The 23,812-nt window shown below is 39.4% G+C and overlaps 2 protein-coding genes across 11 annotated transcripts in view, besides 3 other annotated features; one reads left to right on the top strand and one right to left on the bottom strand.

Annotated features, from left to right (window-relative positions):
- Nucleotides 1–23,812, top strand: part of MCM9 (minichromosome maintenance 9 homologous recombination repair factor) — a 121,705-nt gene that overhangs the window by 24,615 nt on the left and 73,278 nt on the right. Inside the window, exon 8 of one of the 10 annotated variants that reach the window (NM_001378365.1) lies at nucleotides 15,220–18,019. The exons of the other annotated variants lie outside the window; for them this stretch is intronic. Coding sequence (NP_001365294.1) covers nucleotides 15,220–16,055 — 836 coding nt within the window. The 3' untranslated portion in view covers nucleotides 16,056–18,019. Of the gene's footprint in view, nucleotides 1–15,219; nucleotides 18,020–23,812 lie in introns of those variants that run through there. 10 annotated transcript variants of the gene reach the window in all.
- ASF1A (anti-silencing function 1A histone chaperone) lies at nucleotides 1,374–16,393 on the bottom strand. Its single transcript, NM_014034.3, has 4 exons — nucleotides 16,023–16,393; nucleotides 9,664–9,779; nucleotides 4,717–4,893; nucleotides 1,374–3,143 (listed from the first exon to the last, which is right to left on the bottom strand). The coding sequence occupies exons 1-4, from the start codon at nucleotides 16,129–16,131 to the stop codon at nucleotides 2,931–2,933; spliced, it is 615 nt and encodes a 204-aa protein (NP_054753.1). The 5' UTR covers nucleotides 16,132–16,393; the 3' UTR covers nucleotides 1,374–2,930.
- Nucleotides 15,199–15,728: a silencer, noted in NCBI's record as "silent region_17505". NCBI's record gives its function as "represses an Ori minimal core promoter by ATAC-STARR-seq in GM12878 lymphoblastoid cells {active_cell/tissue: GM12878}" and the evidence as "EXISTENCE:reporter gene assay evidence [ECO:0000049][PMID:35858748]".
- Nucleotides 16,109–16,198: an enhancer, noted in NCBI's record as "active region_25015". NCBI's record gives its function as "activates an Ori minimal core promoter by ATAC-STARR-seq in GM12878 lymphoblastoid cells {active_cell/tissue: GM12878}" and the evidence as "EXISTENCE:reporter gene assay evidence [ECO:0000049][PMID:35858748]".
- Nucleotides 16,519–16,658: a silencer, noted in NCBI's record as "silent region_17504". NCBI's record gives its function as "represses an Ori minimal core promoter by ATAC-STARR-seq in GM12878 lymphoblastoid cells {active_cell/tissue: GM12878}" and the evidence as "EXISTENCE:reporter gene assay evidence [ECO:0000049][PMID:35858748]".

Raw genomic sequence — 23,812 nt, 5'->3', positions numbered from 1 at the left:
AGCCATCTAAGTGGATGACTGGTAATTTCAGAGTATTTGGGCAGTTTGAAAGTGAATTGCTGCTGATTCACTGGATTAGTGAATTAGTATAAAAGTATATTAGCACATTTCCTCCTTTTTAATGCAAAGATCATAATCCAAATATGAGAGAACAAGTATAGGGAATATAAATTTTACGGTTATAGAATAGTTATTGCTACTTCTGGTCTACCCAAAGGGCCACGCTAGCCTTTCTTCAGATTGTGTACTGCAACCCATTAGAGTCATAAAAGTCAATTCAGTGGGTCAAAACCAGCACTTTCAAAGTAAAATACAATTAAAAAAAAACCAAAATACTGCATAGTAAAGGTGCACTAAGGATGTGTTTTCATGAAATTTTTTAACATAAATATAAACTTGTTATGGAGTCTTTTTTTTTTTTTTTTTTTGAGATAGAGTCTAGTGCTGTCGCCCAGGCTGGAGTGCAGTGATGCAATCTCAGCTCACTGCAACCTCTGCTTCCTGGGTTCAAGTGATTCTCCTGCCTCAGCCTCCTGAGTAACTGGGATTACAGATGTGCACCACCGCACCTGGCTAATTTTTGTATTTTTAGTAGAGACAGGGTTTCACCATGTTGGCCAGGCTGGTCTTGAACTCCTGACCTCAAATGATCCACCCGCCTCAGCCTCCCCAAGTGCTGGGATTACAGGCGTGAGCCACTGCGCCCGGCCCTAAGTTTTTTATACCATGGATTATGGTAAAAAGTTTTGATAACTGCTGCCATAGACATTCTTGGGAAAGCTAGAAACCCCAAATCCTAAAATTAGAGGGTATAGTTATATGGGAGCCTAAAGTTGTATAAGGTTATGAATGGGCAAATAAATGCATGCATACTTCTTCAGACCTCTGGAATGTTTTCTCAGCCCAAATAATACCCTTAATGCCTCCATCTTAGTGGCATAAGTCATTGGTTCATGTTTATATTCTTAGGACACAGCTATTTACTATGAGCAAAAGGGTGGAAAATAGTTCTTCAGATACAGTATTGGCAAATGACGCTAGACCGGGTGGAAAAAAAACTTATGTGCTACAGTTTCTTACGTTTCTAATGTTTGAAGTCTAAATCTATTTTCAGTCATTAAAAAAATTCTTAGAGTGATAAAATTTAAGATAACAAAAGGTAATGGTTCGCATGTCCCAAGCTTAAGTGAAAATTGGTTGTCCATTTACAACTTGATACAAAAACCTAACCCTTTGATGTCACTACAAATAGATTGTTATAATTAGTCAGAATAAAAACTCAGCAGTAAATGGCTTTATTTGGTGATTTGGCTGTATATGCTTTATTTCTAATAAGCACATATGTTGTTCCTATTATATTAACCACTGAGCTCTTTGTTGGAAAGTAATGCTTTTATTTTCATTTTAATATTTTAACATTTTTCTTTTAATTGCAATTAGACAAATGAGATTTTCTTTATATAGTTTTAACAGTCAGAAGTATTTTACTTTTAAAATCTATGAACTAGTTAATGGACAATATTTTAATAATCTGGTATATTAAATTCAAAGTTTAACATCTGGCAAAACTTTGCTTCACAAATTCACTTTTTTAGAATGATAGGAAATATATACAACTCAGAATCCATGTTTAGACAAATGCCCTTTTCCTTTCCTCAACATAAAAGCTTTAAAAAGTGCAGTATAAAAGTTTTAGATATGAAGGCACTGCATAACCTGCATCATATGGCTGTCTTGCTTAGCTGCAAGAATAATGAAAATATTCTACCTCAATTTTATGGAGCATAAGAAAATTTTTTGAGGAAGGACTTAACTCTCAAAGAAAAAGAAACCTTTTACCCCATTTAGTTAATGAATTCCTTTCCAAGATTGCTTTTCAAAGATTTGTTGGAAAAGCTATCTAGAGTATGTCAACCACAAATATGCCTGATCTCATTCTGCATGAGTGTCAGAGGAAATGGGGAAGAGTACTACAGGTGTGAAAATATATATATTTCCAAAATAGTAACGTATCTATTATAATAAAGCTAAATATACCTTTCTAAATCCATGGTTTTTATATAAATACTGCCAATAACATGATCTATTAAAAGAATTTTTAAAGGTCATGGTATTTTTAGAAATCAAATGAACCAATTTGAGCCATTGTAATCCCCTATTCTTAAACACAGGGAGTTTGTATTTTCTCCCGATATTGTATTTGGTCTTGAATTCACTGGACAATAATGATGTATGATTCAAGAAATGCTCTGATATTCTAAACTCTGTTATAAGAACAAAAACCATAGCCAGGGGACCTTATTAACAATTAGCCATATTTGTTCTTCTCTTACCAAACAAACCAAATGCTGTCCAACATCTCATGAACTATAATAGTAGCCATAAGAGGCTTCACGGTGGCTTGGAAAATTGGATCCTAAAGTTCTTGGTAGCATATAGTTGATTTCAAATCCTCTTTTTAAGGACATGCCAAAAAAGAATGGAAATCTGCCCCTTAAATTAAAATGATACCATATGTCTTCACAGGAAGAAACATTTTAGTTGAAGTAAACTTTGTTCTTTCAAAGGCCAGTAAAATAGTGGTCCAAAGACTGTCTGGGAGGCCAAGACATCTTTACAACCTGGTCTAATGATTCCTGTTTCTTTATAAGTGCTTTCATTACATATAAAGGAGAAGAAAATAATATATATGCTTTAATCAGATTAGTTTCAGAACAAATAAAATAACACATTAGAGAAAAAAATTACTTAAAAATAGTTGTATTTATATTCCACAATTTGTTCAAATACTGGTTTTCTTATAAACTTTCTACAGGATGTTTTTAAACAAATTCTTCACATTGTGTTTTGACTATGTACTTACGGAATTTCAGGGAAATAGTTCTGTGTATTTTTAATAGCTTAATTTGTACTAAAGGGATGGTAGGTGGTCACATGCAGTCCATGTGGGATTCTAACATGACATTTAGTGAGTTTTCTGATGTGGACCATCCCTTTGATGCTGAAGGTAATGCATCTGTTGAAAGAAGTGACTGTAGATTTGGATTACTGCTCTCTGCATCTTCCAGTTTTTCTGTGTTATCTTCCCAATTAATGTGGAATCTTGTGACCCTGGGATTAGATGCCAAAATATTCCTTTGAAGCTAGAGGAAAAAGGAAACATACAAATGGTAAACACTAAGAAAGTTAAATCACCATATACAAATAGAAGCTTAATAAAATGGTTCATGTTAGTACTCCTAAAGGGCTAAGTTCATATACAAAGGTATAATTCAAGTTAAGTACCTTAAATATAACTAATAAGATGTAACGACTAGGGCTGTAGCAAAGAAGTTATTTTAGATTAACAGAAACAAGATACGGAGAATCTGAGGGGATTCATCTGGCTTTTTAACTATTTAACTCCTATACTTCTGTTTTCTAAAAGAAAGAATCTCCTCATTTTTGAAAATGAATGCTTCAGAAGATGCTTTATTTAACAAGCTACTATGTTGTTTAGATTGGTATGTTTTCAAAGGAAAATGAAAAATTGTCAAATACAACTTATTATTAATGGTTTCCTACACCTTTTAAAGATGGCTCATTCTTAGAAACAGTCCTGTTTCTTTTGTGCTATATAAGGTGCTTCAGGGATAACAAATTGGATCAATGGAAGGTACAACAAGGGTGAAAAATAGTCCGGCCTTATTATCAGAAAGAACATGAGAACATTCTATTCTATTGTCATGTAATTTTTCTTGCATGGTTCAACTTCATTTACTCTGCACTCTCACAAAATCACCAGTTACCAAACTGTTATAGTTCCCAGTGAAAAATCAGAAAATACTAAGTATCTTTAAGAATGCTGAATCCTAGATTTCAGCTTCTCACTCAGAATTTAAGCTGTTTTCAGTACCAGAAATATTTAAGACTGTTAGTTTAACTTCTAAGAATAGCAGATAAAGCGTATAGGTGTTTTGAGATAACCGTATTCATAGGAAAAACAAACATAAAACTTTCATAATTTTGGGAAGAGTTACACACAAAAATATCATCATTGAATAATTAGTACAACAAAAATGCATTTGTTTGTCCTAAAGGTTGAAATGAACAGAATCATGATGGGAATAATCAATATGGGAAATGCTATAAAGAAAGCCATAAACAAAGGCCTGTCTTACAAGAAGTACTTTCTCTGGGCGTGGTGGCTCACACCTGTAATCCCAGCACTTTGGGAGGTCAAGGTAGGCAGATCACTTGAGGTCAGGAGTTGGAGACTACCCTGGCCAACATGGTGAAACTCCACCTCTACTAAAAATACAAAAATTATCTGGGCGTGTTGGTATACACCTGTAGTCCCAGCTACTTGGGAGGCTGAGACAGGAGAATCGCTTGAACCTAGGAGGCAGAGGTTGCAGTGAGCCGAGATCATGCCACTGCGCTCCAGCCTGAGCAACAGAGCAGGAAACCATCTCAGAAAAAAAAGAGGTACTTTCATTTTTCTAAACCAGAAATGCTCAAGGTGTCTGCCTACATTAATTACTAATGACTCATCTGAAGGTAGGGTTTGAAGTCATCCATGGTAATGGAACAATAATTAGTTTGCCCAGTTGGCATAAGGACCTCATATTTATTTTATCTCAAAGCCATTTTAATAGTATACTATGAAATTGCAATAGCAACTGCTTTAAAAATTGCATAGTAAAAGTAGTTAAAAAGGAATAGTAAGAACATTACCTTAGAAAAGTCTGGTTTTACTGGTGGATTTTCCCTTAATTCTGTCTCAGTATATTCATTATTTACATAATAGCCAACTCTAATAAATTCTTGTCCTCGATAGGTACAAGTAATTAGCACAACAGTTACGCCTACTGCATCTGCATCTGGAATGAGTCCTGGATTAGGTGCATCAGCCTAGAATAAATTAAAAAGAAAAGAAACACACACACACAAAAGGCTGTTAGTGGCAGGCAAGACTGGAGTTTCAGTTACCTAGAACCATCAGTTGAGGATGCAACAAGAAAAACTTGGAAATCATACTGGGAAGGAAAATGCTCATTTCTGACTGACTTATAATAAGCTGGAAAAGACAGTTCATGTTTTGCCACAATATATGTAAGGACCCTTGATACTTGAAAGCATGACTACACTTGTAAAAGGAAGAAATTCTGGCTACACTGCATGGTGGTTCATGAAAGGATTATACACTATTCATTATAAAACCTTTATAGTCAGCAATTGATTTTAACCTTTTCAGTCATAATTTTCAGACCTAAATTAGTAAGTATTAAATGATCTCCTCATAGACTGTTGGCCACAAATGTTTATTATACCAGTTTCCCTCTTCAACCCAGGATACTTATATTCTCATACCCACTCAACCACCCCCACAGGTATTCTAATAGTAAATTAGTATAAAACTGAAAATGAGGTTGGGTGTGGTTGCTTACACTTGTAATCCCAGCACTTTGGGAGGCCAAGGTGGGTGGATCATGAGGTCAAGAGATTGAGACCATCCTGGCCAACATGATGAAACCCCATCTCTATTAAAAACACAAAAATTAGCTGGGCATGGTGGCGGGTGCCTGTAGTCCCAGCTACTTGGGAGGCTGAGGCAGGAGAATCACTTGAACCGAGGAGGTGGAAGTTGCAGTGAGCTGAGATCGCACTACTGCACTCCAGCCTGGCGACAGAGTGAGACTCCGTCTCAAACAAAACAAAACAAAACTGAAAATGAGATGGAAATAGCTACATAGCAGATTTTCAAAAAATATTAATAATCCTCTATTATGAATAGTTACTTTGCTAGACTCTACAATATAGTATGCTCTTTAAACCACACATAATGTGGAAACCAGTGAAGGTAAGGATTGCTTTAGGCAGATGTCAAAGACCTTGTTTTAAATCAAGCTATTGTAAGGTGAACCTTGAGGAATGCAGAAAGTAAACTGAGTTAGACTAGACTAAGAGCATGAGCGAAGGGCAGGGCCCCATCCGTGGTAGGGTGCAGGTAGTAATGAGACGACCGGATGGAAGGAGCCAGACTGGGGAACACAGGCAGTGATGGCTGAGGCATCTGAGGCAGCCATTCTGGGTGGTAAATGGATCAAGTCCCAGCAAATTAGCTTACCTGTTGCCAGGGCACCAAGGAATATTCCTGGGCCTAGATGAGCACTTTAGCCAATGCCTTAGCTTGTGAAAATTGAAGACTGTTGTTTACTGTATGCCTAACACAGGTAGATGATACAAAAAGGCATAAAATCGCTACCTAGTGTCCTAGGCTAAAAACCTCAGTCAGCTTCACTCCCTTATCTCCTACATCTAGTCAGTCTCAACATTTTTTTCATTTCTGGAGGCTGAATTCATGTCATCTCCTATCTGGAATATTGCTTAGAATTTTCTAACTGATCTCCCCAGCTCTAGCCTATCATTTGCACTGCTACCAGCATTAACACAGATATGTTCTTTCTCTTTGGTTTTAAAACCTCAGATTATTAAAACCCTCAGAAGAGTATTCCCTTTTCTAAGGGATAAAATCTCAGTTCTTTAACTTCATTGACAAGGCCCTTCTCAGTTTGTCTCCAGCCAATATCTCCATTCATACCTCCTTTAACTCCACCATTGTTCTAGAGATATGAATCACACAGGTTCTTTAAAACGTGGTGATAATCTTTTCACGCTCTGAGCACGGTGGCTCACGCCTGTAATCCTAGCACTTTGGGAGGCTAAGGTGGGTGGATCACTTGAGCCCAGGAATTTGAGATTATCCTGGGCCACATGGCGAAACCCCATCTCTACAAAAACAAATTTAAAAAAGAAATACTTCACCCCCTGTGCTTCTAACATACTGTTCCCTTGGCCTGAAAGGTCCTTCGCTCACATCCTGAAAAATTCATCTTTTAATCTTTTTTGGAGCTTACATCGAGTGTATTCTCAGTGACGCCCTTTCTAACTCAGAAGGTAGAATCAATAGATTCCTTTTTTATGTGCTGATATTTCTTGTCACAAATTATCTAAGAACGTATGCCCTGTGATCTAAACATGTTTATTTTTCAGTCTTCTCTTCTAGATGCTATGCTTTATCCAGGGCAGGAGTCCCATCCAGTTCATCTTTATAATCTCGTGTGGCTCAGCTCTGAGCACTTAGTATTTTGGAATTCATTTGTAAATCAGTTCCTGCCCTGAAGGGGTTTATGATCTCTTGGCAAGACACCAGGATAGGGGACAGCCAGCCTTGTCCTGGAGAATATGCTGTTTGTCTTAGAGATTCTACACACCCCTGCACAGAGGGGTTAGATTACTTTCAGTGTACCCAAACGGATTCTAATATACCTGAAGTGGGTGGAGATGGGAAATATATAATAGTTCAGTACTGCTATGAGAACTCTTCCCCTTCCCTTCAGTAAATTGGTTCCCTTCAGTAAATTGGTTCTAGGCATGTTTCTGTTTTAAAATCTGTTGTAAATATAAAACATCTTTTAAAAAGCATTTTACAATTTGAAAAAGATTCAGTTTGAGCAAATTTAAGTAGAGAAGCTTACAGGCCTTTCAAATAATTTAGGATGCAGAAGTAATGAGCAGAGATCTTTGTTTTGACTCTAGCTGGCAATACTAGGCAGATGTCTGGACATCTTCCTGCTAGCCTTTGACTCACTCAGAAGAAAGACATGTTTAACTATTTAGAGAGGCAAAATCATGGCAGACCAAGAGATTACTATAGTAGTTTTAAAATACAAAACAAAAGCTGTAATTTAGTCTCTTTCTGTTGATAATGGTGAATTCTGTAAAACCTTTAGGCTGAATATACATTGTACCTCCTCTGTTCTTTTTGGCAACATGTACACTGACACCAAGGTAAAACTACGTGAAGATCACCAGCAGGAAATACTTTTGAATACATTTTTTTTGCTACAGCACTTTCAGCCAAAAGCTTAGGAGTATGCTTAATAACAAACACAAAAGATTTTCAAGGGTTTGTTTCAATAACAAGGCATTTATTTGTAAGTTCTTATAGTAGCCAAAAAAAAAAAAAAAAAAGTATTATCAGTACCTGTCAACCCAGGTTTCTTTTACTGTATCATGAATTATCAGTAAAGTATGGGTTCCTTAGGCCTGTGGGTCAGAGCAAGTCCTGCTTTTTTATATAACAATTTCAAGAAGTTAAGAGAATAAAAATGTAGTTCTAATTTTAGGAATAGGGCACTCTTTATGAGTGACTGATTATACTGTTTTATTCCCCATAACATTTTAATGAGATAGAATATTATCCACATTTTATAGAAGACTGGAATGACTAAGGGAGGAGGTTAGAGAGGTAAAGCCACACATGGCTAATACAGAGGTGTCGGGATTTGACCTATATCTATAACTGCAGTGCTTCCTTCTACAGAACAGGGCATTCTGTTACCCATGTCTTTTACATGGTTATGCACTCACACAACTTTGATTAACAGCACTTTTAATTCATATATTTGATTAGTATATTTGAGCTTTTCTTAGCTATTTCTTTAGATACAGTAAATTATTTGTTGCTTTTTAATCAAAAGTACTAAGGCTAGGAAACCAAGATTCTAAATTCTGTATTTAGGACAGGGGAGGGAAAGGTAGCAGCTCTAGAGATGGCATGTGTCTAAGTGATTCTTTGCCAGTTTCTGATGGGATTATTTGACCAATGGTATTCATTTAAATTGGTCCCATCTGTGAAGTGAGAAAACAGAGGTCAGGCATAGGAAGAGTTAGATTTTCTTTCTGGATTAAGTCTTTTCAGTGAGTTCCACTTAACTGATGGGACATTGCTGGGTTGAAATACTTGTAACAGAAATTAATAGTAGTTTTAAAAAACCTATGGCTAGTTACTCTTTGGTCTATTACAAACATCTCCCTTATAAATAAGCATGCATAATTGAGGAATAACTGAATGGTTCCATATAGCAATTTAACATGGATTAAAAGAAATAACACTTTTGAATATAGAAGACAATGTCTGAAGCCTTGGTATAGATCCAAATACTCTCAGTGGTATCTAAGAACAAAATTTTTATTACTAGAAATTCTCTTCACAAATACCTAGTGGGGTAGTAAATTTGCAAAAGTAGTCCTCTTATAAGATAATGTAGATTATAAGATGCTTTAGTAAACTCTGGAATGTCATTCCAATGACCCAAGACCACACATCTCTATCCACTAAACGTATCTGTTAACCTAGCTCAACTACTGATTATGCTGAAATAAAGTTGTTTTTGTTACATCACCATCAGTTCCAGTGGCTGAAACCATAAACTGAAGATGCATATTACTAACAATGCCAGTTAGTTTTAGATATTTTGAATCCATGTTTTGGGTTGCTAGACAGCCACCTTGGAAGTCTGATACTGAGGTGCTATTCACAGGAAGAGCCCCAAATTCACCACCCTGTGTGCCATGATACAGTATAAAATTTACTGTAGGTTGTTCATCTCTCTAAAGTAAACGTCACATTAACATCTCTCAGCATATAAAACCAGGAAGTAAGAGTTCCTCTGTGACACAGAGACTGCCTAAAACATGATGGAAACAGATTTAAAGTGAATGCAGCAGAAGCAGTTCTTTAACCCAAAAGGAAAGGGATAAGGGTTATAAGATAATAGATAATATAGTCTACTTCGAAACATATTTGGCATACACATTTACCAAGATTAATCTTACCTGAAATACAAACATATGCCTTCCTGCGGGAACAGGACCCACTAAAACAGAGTCTAAAACTTGATCGTATTCTTCACTTTCTGCAGAGCCCACATAGATAATTTTCCATTCCAAGTCTAGGGTTAAAAAACCAAAGCATTATTTCATATTCAGTAATTACATTACCAGATGACATCAAAGACCCTTTTAATGTCCACTTAGCCACTTACTGGCTTTAAAATTGGCTTCTCATAGCAATCCAGAAAGGCAGTGAAATGCTCCTTATAAAGTTCCTACCAGAGTTCACACTTTGATCAGAGTTTCTCAAAATACTCTTTTGTGAAACACTAGTTCCTGGACAGTGCCTCACAAACAAGATAACATAGCCAAACACTTGGGAAATGCTGTAAACCTTGTCTTGAGGATTCATAAAGCATGCTGGCACAGTAAGTTTTCTGAGATATCCTTCAGTAAAGAACACCAGTAACATTAATCCAGCACTTCCCAAATTTATTTGGCTATGGAATCCCCCTTTTTTTGTATATCATCTTTTAAGGCCCTTCTCAACACACTTTGGAAGGGCAGCCCTATACTACGCTGCAGAGATCCAAATAATCACAGAGCTCCAAAGTAGAAAAATTATTAGTAAAACCTCCCTCATGGCTCAGAAGTAAGTGGCTTCAGCTCATCAACTGTCAACGAACAATGGTAGGGTTTTTCCCTTACGGCACCCCCCTGTGTCATACATTCTTTAAATTGGGCAGAGGAAACCAAGATCTTTACACCACGTGATACAATAGAGTATACACAGTGGAGATAGGCAGGAGGAAAAGACATTCAGGTGCAATTCAAGGCGTTATATGTAATTCAATATAGCGGATTTTACTGAGCATGTTTTACAATGTGTTCTGTGAAGTGAACCCAGAGATGAGTAGAACTCTTTGGAGGAGTCTCCTGTTTAGCTGAGGAAGAAGATAACTTTGTAATACAAACCATCTCTGAGAGACCTCTTCATCTTCTTTGGGTATTTTGCACTGTGTGGCCTGCCTCTTGCATTCAACACACTGTTACACAAGCACTCCCAAAGGGTGAGTTTCTGGGTCACTCATGACAATCTAGTTAGTGCCACCATGTGTGGCCATTTTTGTGTAACTGTAGATATTTTTGTTCCCTAAATTGATAATAGAAATAGTAACGTACTGCTTATTTATATTGTATTGTAAACTACAATCAACTGAAAGCTCCTTTTTTATTTTCTCTTATTAAGTCAGCAATCATTTTCTGAGGACCTATTATGTCATGGCTCTGTCCTAGAACTAAACCATTTCTATTTCCAGCTTCCAGCACACTTCCAGATGCAGGGTGCTGCATCTGACATCTCCTGAGATCATCTGTTGATGGAGATAGAGAGGAAGTAGGCAATATAAGTATCTCGCCAGAGGGAACAGCAAATACAAAGGCCCAGGGGTAGGGCACACTTGGCAAGAAAAAGCAAGGAGGCTAGGGCTGGAGCAGAATGAAAGGAAGGAGGAAAGCACCAAACCCTATGATTGAGGATGAGGGGAACAGCCAGATCATGCGGTTTTGAAGGCCATCATAAGGACTCTGGCTTTCACACTGCGTGGCATGGGAAGCCATCGAAGGGTTTTGAGCAGAGCAGTAACAGGAGCCAACTTTCATTTTAAAAGGAATGCTTTGATTGCTGTGTTCAATATAGAGTGTAAGAGGACAAGGGAAGAAACAATATTTCAATAATTGAGGCAAGAAATTATGGTGGCATGGACCTCGTGTGGCCATGGGGCTGTGCAACAGTTATATTCTGGATAAAATCCTGAAGATGAAAGCAGCAGGAGCCACTTTTGCAGGGAGGTGATGTGGGGTAGGGGAGCAATCAGGAGTTCATTTTAGACATATTTGAGATGTCTGCTTCTAAGCAGAGATACTGAATAGGCAGGATAAAAATTTGGAACCTGTCAATGATATGTAAAGCCATAAAAATACATGGGCTTGCTCTAGGGAGTGAGATTTGAGCCCTCCAAAGATAAGAGGACAAATTAAGTTACAAAACAAGTGGCAAATGAGGTAGGTGACCCAAAAGCCAAGTGAAGAAACTGTTTTAAGAAAGTGATGTGAAAGGTACTAAACTAGCCAAGTGAGGATAAGACTAAGAATTATCACATAGAGTGGCTGGGCGCAGTGGCTCACGCCTGTAATCCCAGCATTGTGGGAGGCTAAGGTGGCTGGATGGCTTGAGGTCAGGAGTTCGAGACCAGCCTGGCAAACATGGTGAAACCCCATCTCTACTAAAAGTACAAAAATTAGGGGTGGCACATGCCTGTGGTCCCAGCTACTCGGGAGGCTGAGGCACAAGAATCGCCTGAACCCTGGAGGCGGAGGTTGCAGTGAGCCGAGATCGCGCCACTGCACTCCAGCCTGGGCAATGGAACGAGATTGTCTCCAAAAAAAAAAAAAAAAAATTATTACATAAAGGTTTTCATGAATTTTAATTTCATATATAATTGTATCACTACATATAATGCCCTTGATCCTAAGTGGTATAAATTCGCATTTGTGGACTGGCATAGGAACATAGCCATAATTTATAAACCTATTTTAGAAAATACCTACTATATACTGGGCATTAGTTCTACTTCATACCTATTGTTTAAACCTCAACAGCTTCATCATGTAGATCAAATTATCCCCATTATGCAAATAACTTGAGACTCTGAGAGGTTAAGTAATCTACACAAATTCATAATTTGTACATCAAAGAATCAGAATCCAAGCTATGCCTCTGTAACTACAAACCCCGGGCTTCTTCTGAAAACCTAACTGGGAAGATAAATTCTTTCTAGCTCTGAAATTAGCAGTGGAATAAGGGAATTTATTTGCAGGGGAAGTGAGAGCAGAGGAGATGGAGAGAGAATCTAGCCTTAACAAGAACAGGCTGCAACTCAGGGAACACTTGTACATTGATTTTTATGTTTATGGGATGCTTGCTACAGTTGCTGAGTTTTACATGCTCAATACCCTTTTATACATTGGCATCAGTTTTTTTGTTGTTTTTTTTTTTAACCCAGCTTTCATTTAATTCCTCTGCCCCCTGTATTTGAGGGAGGAAGGGTAAGGTCAGATGTTTTACATAAGTTCTCAGGTGAAGAAATTTGTTCATTTATTTTAAAGTTAACTTTTATTTAATCACAGTAATCATGATTAAATGATTTACCCAGCCTGAAAGTATTTACATTTGTGGTGAAAGAGTGAGTGAATGAGGGAAGTCATCAAGAGAATTTTTAGCTAATTACACTACTTGGGAAGACCTGTGGTCTAGTGGAAAGTATGTAGGCTTTGGAATTAGAACAAGCTGAAGTTGGAAAGTATGAAGCACCATGCTCAATTCTGGTATATTATAAGTATTCAATTGACAGTAGCTGTAATTAAGATATATATATATATAAATTTAAGAATGGCAGGATGGTCAATCAAAACTTGTACAGTCTTGGTGACCATCAAGCACATCCAGCCAGGGTCTCAGGCTGTCTTAACCCTTGATATAAGCCCTATATTAGAAAGAACCAAATTATCTTAAGACCAAATATTCCTCAAGGCTTTTTCTGAAGCAAAGCTACAGGGCAGCTCTTAAAGGAAAGTGAACGTTTGGGGCTACTGATGAAAGTATGAAAAACGGTGGCCAAACTCTGCTTTGAGACTTGAGGCAAAATAACTTATTAAGAAAATTCTTTTCAAAATATTCTATAGTTTGGGCTGGGTGCAGTGGGCTCACTATAATCACAACACTATGGGAGGCAGGGGTGGGAGGACTGCTTGAGCCCAGGGGTTCGAGACCAGCTTGGGCAACATGGCAAAACTCCGTCTCTACAAAAAATTAAAAAATTAGCCCAATGTGGTGGCACATCGACTATGGTCCCAGCTATTCAGGAGGCTAAGGTGGGAGGATTGCTTAAGCCCAGGTTGAGGCTGCAGGGAGCAGCTGTGTTTGCACCACTGTACTCCATCCAGCCTGAGTGCCAGAGCAACACTGTCTCATTTAAAAAAAAAAAAATTCTATAGTTTAATTTTAAGAACAGAATTTTTAAAAGAACTGTAATATAAAAGTATGGAACCTATTAGAAGCCTTTGCTAAGTAAAAATTTCCTTAATCCACATAGCCTCTAGGTGGAGTATACAGGCATGGCACCTTTTTGAAAGATTCCTTTGCAGCTTCAGTATGACTCAGCTTAAAATATTTTTTAAAATACTAAATAAATGCTCAGTAATGGTGCCTAGGAAGTGAAATATACCATTGGAAATAAGTATGTTTTTGACACCAGTACTGTAAATCCCTGATGTGATTCAGCTGGGTTCTGAATGGATCCCAGTTAAAAATGGAACGTTTTGGCTTTATGAATGGCTGGTTTCATCTATGCAATGTAAAAGCCCTGTAACGACATCCTGAGTCATCTATCTTCTTTGTTCAGAGCTGACTCCTAAAATGGAAGGCAACACTTGAGAAATACCTGTAATTTGAAGAACTTCTGGTGGTATATCTGAAAAACAGTGTGGTATAAGTTGGAATGGACCGATCAATGGTTTTTCTTTTGTCTATTTTTATATGCAGTTGGCAATAAAAAAAAAATTACTGTTGGGTGTGAAAAATGGGCCTGGTAGCTGCAATGCTTATATTAATAGTAGTATCATAGGAGAGTAATCAAATGACTTCAGAGTAATAAGAAAAATACCCCTTAGTGTTATCAATGGCCTATTTGAAATTATTTTAATAAATGAATCATCTTTCAAAATTTGCCCTATATATGTATGTGCATTTATGCTCTATATAGGTTTAAAAAAAAAAAAAAAACGGGGGCACATGTTAAAGTAATAATTGTGATTACCGAAAGGAGATAGGGCAAGGCACTGAGTACAGAGAACTGTTAACTTTATATATGCCTGTACAACTTTCTAAAAGTTTATTACAATGAATATATATTGTTTTATAATTAAAATTAACCTTACATATGATATATACATTTTAGAGATTAAAAACTAGTTTTTAAAATGAAAAGTTTTACATGCCACGATTACCTAAATCATCTTCAATGCATTTTTTACATATACTTCTAGTTCAAAGTATGTCCCTCATCGATGAAGTTAAACTATTTCCCCTTCAAAACTGGCAAATGAAGCACTGAATTACTTTAGTAAAAGATAATTAAAGCAAAGATAATTGTCGTTTTAGCTTTCTAAATATTTATTACTAAAGATATTAAAAATACGTATTTTTAAGACCTTAAAATATATGTAGAAAAAATACCAAGAATTCTTGGACTGACATGAGGAGTTGACCTTAATTTCCTAGCCTACGTTTGTGTTTTATGTTTAGGGTGTGTTCTGTATTTGGATGTGGAGTTATTTTAGATTTCAACACGGTCTTGAAGAAAGTCTTCCTTCAGACTATTTATAAGGCAGAGATTAAGTCCTGGAAATTATTTAAGTATCTTATTTCTGCTTTTAGGTTAAATGTAACTTCCTACCTCAGCTCTATTTCTCTTCCTGAAATTAGCTTTTCGTCATTAGGGGAAAGGAGTCCACGTTGGTTGGGGAGCCTGCGCGCCAGCATCCCGGCGCATCCCGGGCGCCGGCCGAGGAGGACCGGCCGAACAGGACCCACGGCCCCCGGGGAGCGCCGGCGCCCAGCCCGCGGCGCGGAGGGGCCGAGCCTGCGCCCGCCTCCCCCGCTGGTTGGTCGAGGAAGCCAGAAATCAGCGCGAGGACAGCCTCGCTCTCCTCCCCGAAGCGGCCAGGCATGGCCAGCCCGGAGAGTGCGGCGACTCCACCGTGAGCTCTCGAGAGTGCCTGCCTGCCTTTCGCCGGGGGCAGGCGGGCGGCGGGGCAAGAGGAGGCGCCGTGCGCCGGGGTCGCTGGCCCAATTCTCGACTCGGGGTAAGATGGCTCCGCTCCGAACTCGCCGGCGCGACCACACGCACAGCCTCTCCCTTCCCAGCCTCCGTGCTCGGGCCCGGAGGGTCGCGGAGGCTGTTGGCGGCGCGGAGCCAGCCCGGCGCGACCTCAGGCGGCGCAGCGGGAGCGAGTGCGGGTCTCCGAGCTGCCCGCCCGCAGACAAAGCTGACAACATGGCTACCTCCGCTCCTCCGCTCAAACAAGTTCCTCGCAAGTTGAGCCCGGCAGGCGCCTGGGCTGCGGCGGAAAGCCGCGCGCGCCTCGGCGGCCGTCGTCCATCAACTTCAAGTTTCCCTCCGCAGAGCAGCCCGCGGCCGCCAGGCGCCGAACACAGCCGCCCAGCGCGAGGCCCGGCCCGGGAAACTTTCAACGTCTGCAGCCCGCAACTGACAGCCCGGGCGCACGGGCGCCGCACTCACCTTCAGACAGGTCCTCGATGCACTCGAAGGTGATCTCGAACTGGAACGGGTTGTAGAAAGGAGAAGGGTTATCCAGCACCACTACATTGTTCACCTGAACCTTTGCCATATTTTGAAAAAAACACAAACAATGGGAACTGGGGCTGGTTGCGGCACAATAAAGTCCAGCGCGCGGCCGCTCGGGAGAGCGCAGACCCCCGCTCCAGCGCCGGCCAGACGTCGTGCAGCGGCGACTTGAGAAACTTTTTTCCTCTTTTTATTTACACGGGAGCACTCCACAGTGTTTTGCAGCTTTCCTATTTCACTAAACTACAGCCCATTCTGCTCTGATAAGTAGCAGCGTTGCCCTCGATTGGCTGCACCCGAGTTCTGACCCTCCTCCTCCAGCGAGGGCCTCGGCAGCCAGCAAGATGGGCTCCCGCTCCCGGAATGGACTCGGAAACTTTAACTGCGGCTCCACCTGCTGGTGTGGATTAGGACAAAGGCGGAGAACAAAGTGAGTGGAATAAGGGCTGGGAGGCCCGCGCGGAGGCCGCCGGCGGCGGCGCGGAGAGGGGCGGAGGGGGCGTGGCCGCGGCGGGGAGGCGTGGCTGCGGCGGGAGGGCGCGATCCGGCCGACGCCCGCCCCTCCAGTTGGCTTCGTGTGGGTGTTTTGGCGTTTTTTTGTTTTTTTTTTTGTTTTTTTGGTTTTTTGATTTAACGCTCTTTTTACATCAGTGCAACAGCTTTGCCGGCCTTGCTGAATTTAGCAGATGAGAGTCGGTGTTTACACTGGGTTAGGTTCAGCTTTCTGCGTATCGGGTAGTATTTGGAGTAGAGAGAAAGATTGGCTGCAGGGGAAATAAATTGCATGTTATAGACCGATGTCAGCTCGAAAGGAGCAAAGCCATTTTGGAAATCTAGCTCTTGGCCAGTATCTACGTTTAGGCACGACAGCGCCGTTAAGCAACACAAAATGAAGGGCGAGGAATGATTTTCTACACACTGTGCTTGGAAAATTTAAATAGGTAACCTTTGGGCTTGCACCTGGGCGTCTTCTTCGGAGTCCAGATCTGGGAAGTCCTAGAATAAAAAAAAATCACAAGAGGTGTGATCAGTTATACTTCAGGTTACTGCCATTTGGAGAGCATAGCAGGAACATAAAAGGAGAAAATGGAAGTGTTAGGAGACCAACAGGGCAACAAACGTAATAGAGATGGGAAAAAGAACACAAAGACATAGCAAGACATTTGATCTTCAAAAAAATTTCTGACCTAAACCGTTAGTAAAGCAAATTCTGAGGAGCCCTTGCTTGCCTGTAACCAGTTGAGGTCTGAACTGAGGAAATGTTGATTCGTTTATGCTGCTTGGCTACCATTGCGGGGAAAGAGAAAGCTTTAACATATTTGTGAGCCTAAACCGTTTCTATTTAGTAAGTGGTATAAAGGTTTGTTTTATTATCTGCTAGCCATAAACCATCATTTTTTTCCTTAAATGTTGTGAATGAAACCACCAAACTTGGCCAAATTCAGAGAGAAAATTAATTCTTAAGTATGTGTTCTGGAAGAGTTTTCTCTTAGTATAGTGCCCAGAATTTTGATTTGTCATTCTTTGGTCATTGTTCATACTTAAGTAGGTGGCTTTTGATGAAACGTTTTCATCTGATGGTCTTTTGAAAGTTAATGTGAGACAGCTAATGTCAACCCCTCGTACATTTAGGAAAACCGGTTAGAGTGGGGAAGAGTTCCCTTTTTTTGTCAGTGGATTGAACAGTTAGATATAGGACCTACCAAAAAACACTTCTTCAAGCCAGTTGTTTGTGACATTAGAGTATTAAGAGTCAAACCATGGTGATAGACACAGATTTTTGTGGCTGATAAACAACATACTCTTCATTCTTATTAGTGCTGGTCCTAACACTAGCAGATAAAGTGGAAATTGCTGTATGCTGTAAGACACTCTGTATATGTAAGATAAAATGACCATTTGAAGATTAAAACTCCTGTGAGACTGGTGTATGCAGTTGTCTGATTATTACAGGTACTCTTAAGAGGAGAGTCTAGTCAGTCTCATGAAAACGACATTTTATGCTTGTTAAAATCACGTGCATTTTGCAGTCTGACCGTAAGTGTTACAATGAGACTAGTTGTAAAACTCACTTTTGGTGGATGTGCAGCATGAAGGACTGAGAAGATCTACCTGAATGCCACTAATTTGGCTTATTTTCTTTAAAATTTTTTGTTTAACACATCATATGCAACAGTATTTAAGAAGAAAAAACTCCCCAACATTTCACTGGAAGCTGCAAGAATTAGCTCCAGGCTTCTCCTGTCTTAACTCTTGTATTATTGCTTGTCAGAAATACTAAAGGGTCGTTGAGCACTTTGTTCAATAGTTTCCTCACCATTGATACTACCTTACTCCAGGAGAGACCGAAAGGATTCCTCAGATATGTCCTGGCATATTTCTAATTTAACTGGTATGCTGTAGGAAAAAAAGAATTGTGAAAGCCTCTCTCTGGTTTCAGAGGCAATCAGTAGGACTTGTTGCTGAACAACTTTGGTGACTCCCAAACATCTAATTGTACAACAGATGGGTCACTGTGAATGTCTTTATTAAGTACCCAAGGGGGTCCCACATAATGTTTGGAGGGCTGCATGGAATGTAATCCCCCAATCACTTCTCACTATGGGTTACTTGGGGGAAGGATGGCTGAGAGAGATTTTATCGGCTCTAAGATGAACAGAACAAAGCCTAAACTAGTGCTTAGGGCAGAAATACATGAAACTAGTTAGTTGTTGTTTTAGACTGAATTATGTCTCCCCCAAATTCGTATGTTGAAGCACTAATCCCTAGTACCTCAGAATGTGACTGTATTTGGAGATTAAGTTAAATGAGGTGATTGGGGTGGGCCCTAATCTAATCTAGCTGGCGTCCTCACAAGGGGAAATTTAGATTTACAGAGAAGCACAAGGGTCACACGCACACAGAGGAAACACAGCAAAAAGGTGGCCATTTGCAAGCCAAGCAAAGAGGCTTTAGAATAAACCAAACCTGCCAACACCTTGATCTTGGATTTCTAGCTTCCAGAACTGTGAGAAAGTAAATTTCTATTGTTTAAGCCACCCAGTGAGTGATATTTTGTTATGGCAGCTCTAACAACCTAATATAGCTATAAGATATTTTTCCCCTCAGAATTAAGCTTATTTGAGCATCTAATCTTACTGAATCCAAATATTGGTCAGTTCCCAAGCACTTCCTGTGGGTGAAATGATGTGGTCCTTTAGCCATGCCAGTAAGGGTGTGGCGTATGTGGAGTGGTGTGCTGTTGCCATTCTTCAGAGGAAGTATATACCACTGGGCATATAGCTTGAATTCTGAAGACACAAGATGCAGCTTACTTGCATGGATTCAAGACTCCTCTACAGAGAAGTGAAACTTGAAGTCAAATTGAGGTCATACACAAAACAAGATGAAAGAGCGAATTCAAATATACTAAAATTGAATTAAATCAAAATGTGCCAAATTAAAATACATTAGAACTAGGAATTAAATTGAGTGTCAGCCCGTGTCTACTGCAAAAGTTATCATAGGAATGGAAGTACTAACCTCTAGCTTTTGTTCAAATCTAGATTTCCACCTCGGGTAATCACTGTGTTGAATTGTCTTCTCATTTGTATTATTACCAACTTAAAAAAATTCCTCATGTAAGGCTTGTTTTAATATGGTCTTTAGTTAGTTTAAGAGGCTCCTTTTTATTTATTAGAAATAGGATGTCAAAATTTAATGATAGTTTTAAATAAAATTTTCTGTATAAATATAGACTAGAGATTTGATGGAGTTCATAGACATTTCTAAATGGAGTAAATTGTACAATAATGATTTCAATAATAATTCATTACATACATACAGAGAGCATTTGTTATGTGAAATTTTTATGCTAGGCTCTGTGAGAAATAGTCAAAGATAAGACATACAAAGACCTTATGGTTCAGTAGGAAAGGTAACTAATCAAATAAGTATGATGCGAAATAGAAAGTGTTAGATGCACCTGTAACCAGTTATGTTAAAATAGGCAAAAGAAAAAATGTTTTCTTGACAATTTGTAAAAAACTTTAAAATACCTGTTTTTGAGCCTCACAAACAGGAATGGCAGGAGGGTAAGATATCATCCCATATAACAAATGAGGATGCTGCTGCTCAGAAACCCATTCCTCTGATGGCTGTCCTAGTACCTTTGTACTCTCTACCATGTCAAGTAAATTTTAAAGTGGGCTTTGTATGTAGAAAAAATAGATTGGTATCATTTTCTGGAAGAACCCACAGGCTGGCGGACACTCCAGTAATGACTTGATTAATGAACTCTTGAGGAACAAAGCTCCATTAATGAGGTTGGTCCAGGTGTATACTGGGAGAGAGAAGGAGACCCAGCCAAGGCAAAGCTGGGGGAGGCTCCCCACGGGGTACTACAGATGTCAAGCCTCCTGTTGAAAAAGGCATCCCTTGGAAGGTGTGGGGGATGGAGCTACACATCCTGGAATGCATCCTTATACTTTTTATAAGGTTTCCATGTCTGTTACATAGCGTACCCTCTCCCCTTCTCTGCTCCACGTCATTAATAAAAGTTTCACTGTTTTGTGTTCTTTTCTACCCATCATTGTGTTAGAAGTTTGTTGAAGGTATAAGCTATATCTGATCCCTTATCCATAGCTGGACTATACTGTAAAACACCTTTTGCATAGCCATAGGTTACATCAGTCAGCTTTCTGAAGCACTGTAATTACATTTATTGACAGTTTCTTGGTGTGTATATCATTATGTTGTTTTTGACCATTTTGAAGGGAAATGCCTAATAATTATTTTCTGTTTCTTATACCTAGTTTTTTGTCTGTGTCTTCTTAGTCCTCTTATCAATCAAGGTCTTTCTAAACTCGTTTCCTCTTGAACTCAAGTCTCTACTTGCAGTCCATCTTCCTTCATGTTTTATAATATATTCCATCCTTTTCTCTCTAACCCTCTACTGCTCTCATTCATCAGAGGTTCACTTTTTAATACCAGGAAAAAAAACAGTAATCGGTAGAGAGGACTCAAATCTTTAAAACATCTCTAGGCTAGACCACTGCTCGTACAAAGCCATTACTAAGCATAGCAGCTTTTCTAGTTGGTTACTATAGAGACAAATGACATTAGATGGAGTGACGCTTGGCAGAAGCTAGGCATGTAGGCTTTGTGAGATTGGAGGCCTCATATGCATGGTCATTTAGAAAGAGTCAAAAACCAGAAAGGATAGGGAGGGGAAATGCTTCACAAATGAGCTAATAGGTAATTAATTGGTAGAAATTTGGTTGGTAGAATTTGTGCCTGATAAGGCTTTGAATCCGGCATGCAAAGAATCCACCTCTAAGTACCCCCTGGTATGATTACACAGTAATATTTTTCAGGTAACAGCTTTGTTGAGATAGAATTCACATAACATGTAATTCACTCATTTGAAGCATCTGAGTCAATAGTTTTTAGAATATTCAGAGGTGTGCAACCATCATCACAATCAATTTTAGAGTATTTTCATGATCTCAAAAAGAAGCTTTGTAGCCTTTAGCACATCCCCCTCCCCAGCATATCCCCCAAGCAGTAGGCAAGCACTGAATTACTTTTTGTCTCTATAGTTTTGCCTATTCTAGACATTTCATATAAACGGAATCTTATAATATGTAGTCTTTTATGACCAGCATCTTTGAAGCATAATGTTTTTGATGCTTCTTTCATGTTGTGTTATATATTGATGCTTTATTCCTTTTTATTACCCAATAATTTTCCATTGTATAGGTATACCACGTTTTATTTATCTGTCAGTTGATGGACATCTAGGTGGTTTCTACTTTTTGGCTATTACACAAAATGCTGCTATTAACATATGTGTACAAATTTTTGCATGGGATGGGACAAATGTTTTCATTTTTCTAGGTTTATGCTTAGGAGTGGAATTGCTGGGTAAGATATTGTAACTCCTTTTTAGGAGCTACCAGACTGGTTTTCTGTTTGTTTGTCTGTTTGTTTTGAGACGAGTCTCACTCTGTCACCCAGGCTGGAGTGCAGTGGCGTGATCTCGGCTCACTGCAAGCTCTGCCTCCCAGGTTCACACCATTCTCCTGCCTTAGCCTCCCGAGTAGCTGGGACTACAGGCGCCCGCCACCACACCCGGCTAATTTTTTTGTATTTTTAGTAGAGACGGGGTTTTACGGTGTTAGCCAGGATGGTCTCGATCTACTGACCTTGTGATCCGCCCACCTCTGCCTCCCAAAGTGCTGGGATTACAGGCATGAGCCACCATGCCCGGCCACCAGACTGTTTTTTAAAGCAGGTGTACCATTTTACATTCCCACCAGCATTCTAATTTCTCCACATTCCCACCAACACTTGCTGTTCTGTCTTTTTGATTATAGCCATGGTGGTGTGTGACATAGTATCTCATTGTGGTTTTGGTCTATATTTCCCTGATGGCTAAAGATGTTAAGCATCTTTCATATGCTTATTGGCCCTATGTATATCTTCTGTGGAGAACTGTCCATTCAGATCCTTAACCACTCCCTTCACCCCTTTTTTAAAAAATACAGACGGAGTCTCACTCTGTTGCCCTGGCTGGACTTGAACTCCTGGGCTCAAGTGATCTTCCCACCTCAACCTCCTGAGTAGATGGAACTACAGGAGCATGCCACCATGCCAGCTCTTTGCCTATTTTGAAAATTGGGTCATCTGTCTTTTTATCATTGAGTTGTAAGAGTTCCTTATGTGTTCTACATACAGGTCTTTTGTCAAACACATGATTTGCAAGAAGTTTCTCTAGTTGTTTGGATTATCTTTTAATTTTCTTGGTGGTGTCCTTTGCAGTGTAAAAGCTTTTAATTTTGATGATGCCCATTTAATCTATTTTCGTTATGTTGGATTGTGCTTTTGATGTCATTTCTCAAAAACCATTGCCTAATCCAGCGTCATGAGGATTTACACCTGAGTTTTCTTCTAAGAGTTTTATTCTTTTAGCACCTTACATTTGGGTCTTTGATCAAGTTTGAATTAATTTTTGTATATGGTGTGAAGGGGTCCAAATTCATACTTTTGCATGTGCTTGTCCAGTTTCCCAGCAGCATCTGTTGAAAAGACTATTTTCCTAATGAATTGGCTTGGAACCTTTCTCAGAATGAATTGACCTTAAATGTATGGGTCTATTTCTGGACAATCAATTCTGTTCTGTTGATCTGTGTCCTTATACTACTGCTACATTGTCTTGATGACCTTAGGTTTGTGTAGTATGTTTTGAAAGCAGGAAGTGTGAGTCCTCCAACCTTGTTCTTTTTTTTCAATATTGGCTATTTTGCATCCCTTGAATTTTCATATGAATTTTAGGATCACTCTATCAATTCTGCAAAGAAGCCACCTGGGATTGTGATAGGGATTGCATTGAATCTATACATCCCTTTGGGGAGTACTGCCATCTTCATGATGCTGCCTTCCAATCAGTAAACATGAGTTCGCCTTTAATTTCTTTGAGTAATGTTTTGTAGTTTTCCTTCTTTCTTTTTTTGAGATAGGATCTTGCTCTGTTTTTTAGGCTGGAGCACAGTGGCACAATGATAGCTCACTGCAGCCTTGAACTTCTGGGCTCAGGCGATCCCCCAACGTCAGCCTCCAGAGTAGCTAGGACTACAGGTGTGTGTGTGTGTGCCACCACATCCGGCTAATTTTTTGAAATTTTTCATAGAGACTAGGGTCTCACTGTGTCGCCCAAGCTGGTCTCAAACTCCTGGCCTCAAGCC

This window comes from Homo sapiens, chromosome 6 (genome assembly GCF_000001405.40).
Source record: "Homo sapiens chromosome 6, GRCh38.p14 Primary Assembly".
In the NCBI taxonomy this organism is placed as follows: domain Eukaryota; kingdom Metazoa; phylum Chordata; class Mammalia; order Primates; family Hominidae; genus Homo; species Homo sapiens.
This window is presented reverse-complemented; position numbering and strand designations above follow the sequence as displayed.

Bases quoted from the DNA above. Each gene is read 5' to 3' on its own strand.
- ASF1A (NM_014034.3), bottom strand. From the start codon at position 16,131: ATGGCAAAGGTTCAGGTGAACAATGTAGTGGTGCTGGATAACCCTTCT. The intron at 4,894-9,663 runs GTAAGATTAATC...AATTTATTCTAG, and splicing joins GGCATATGTTTGTATTTCAG to GCTGATGCACCTAATCCAGG. The intron at 3,144-4,716 runs GTAATGTTCTTA...TTTTTCCTCTAG, and splicing joins TAAAACCAGACTTTTCTAAG to CTTCAAAGGAATATTTTGGC.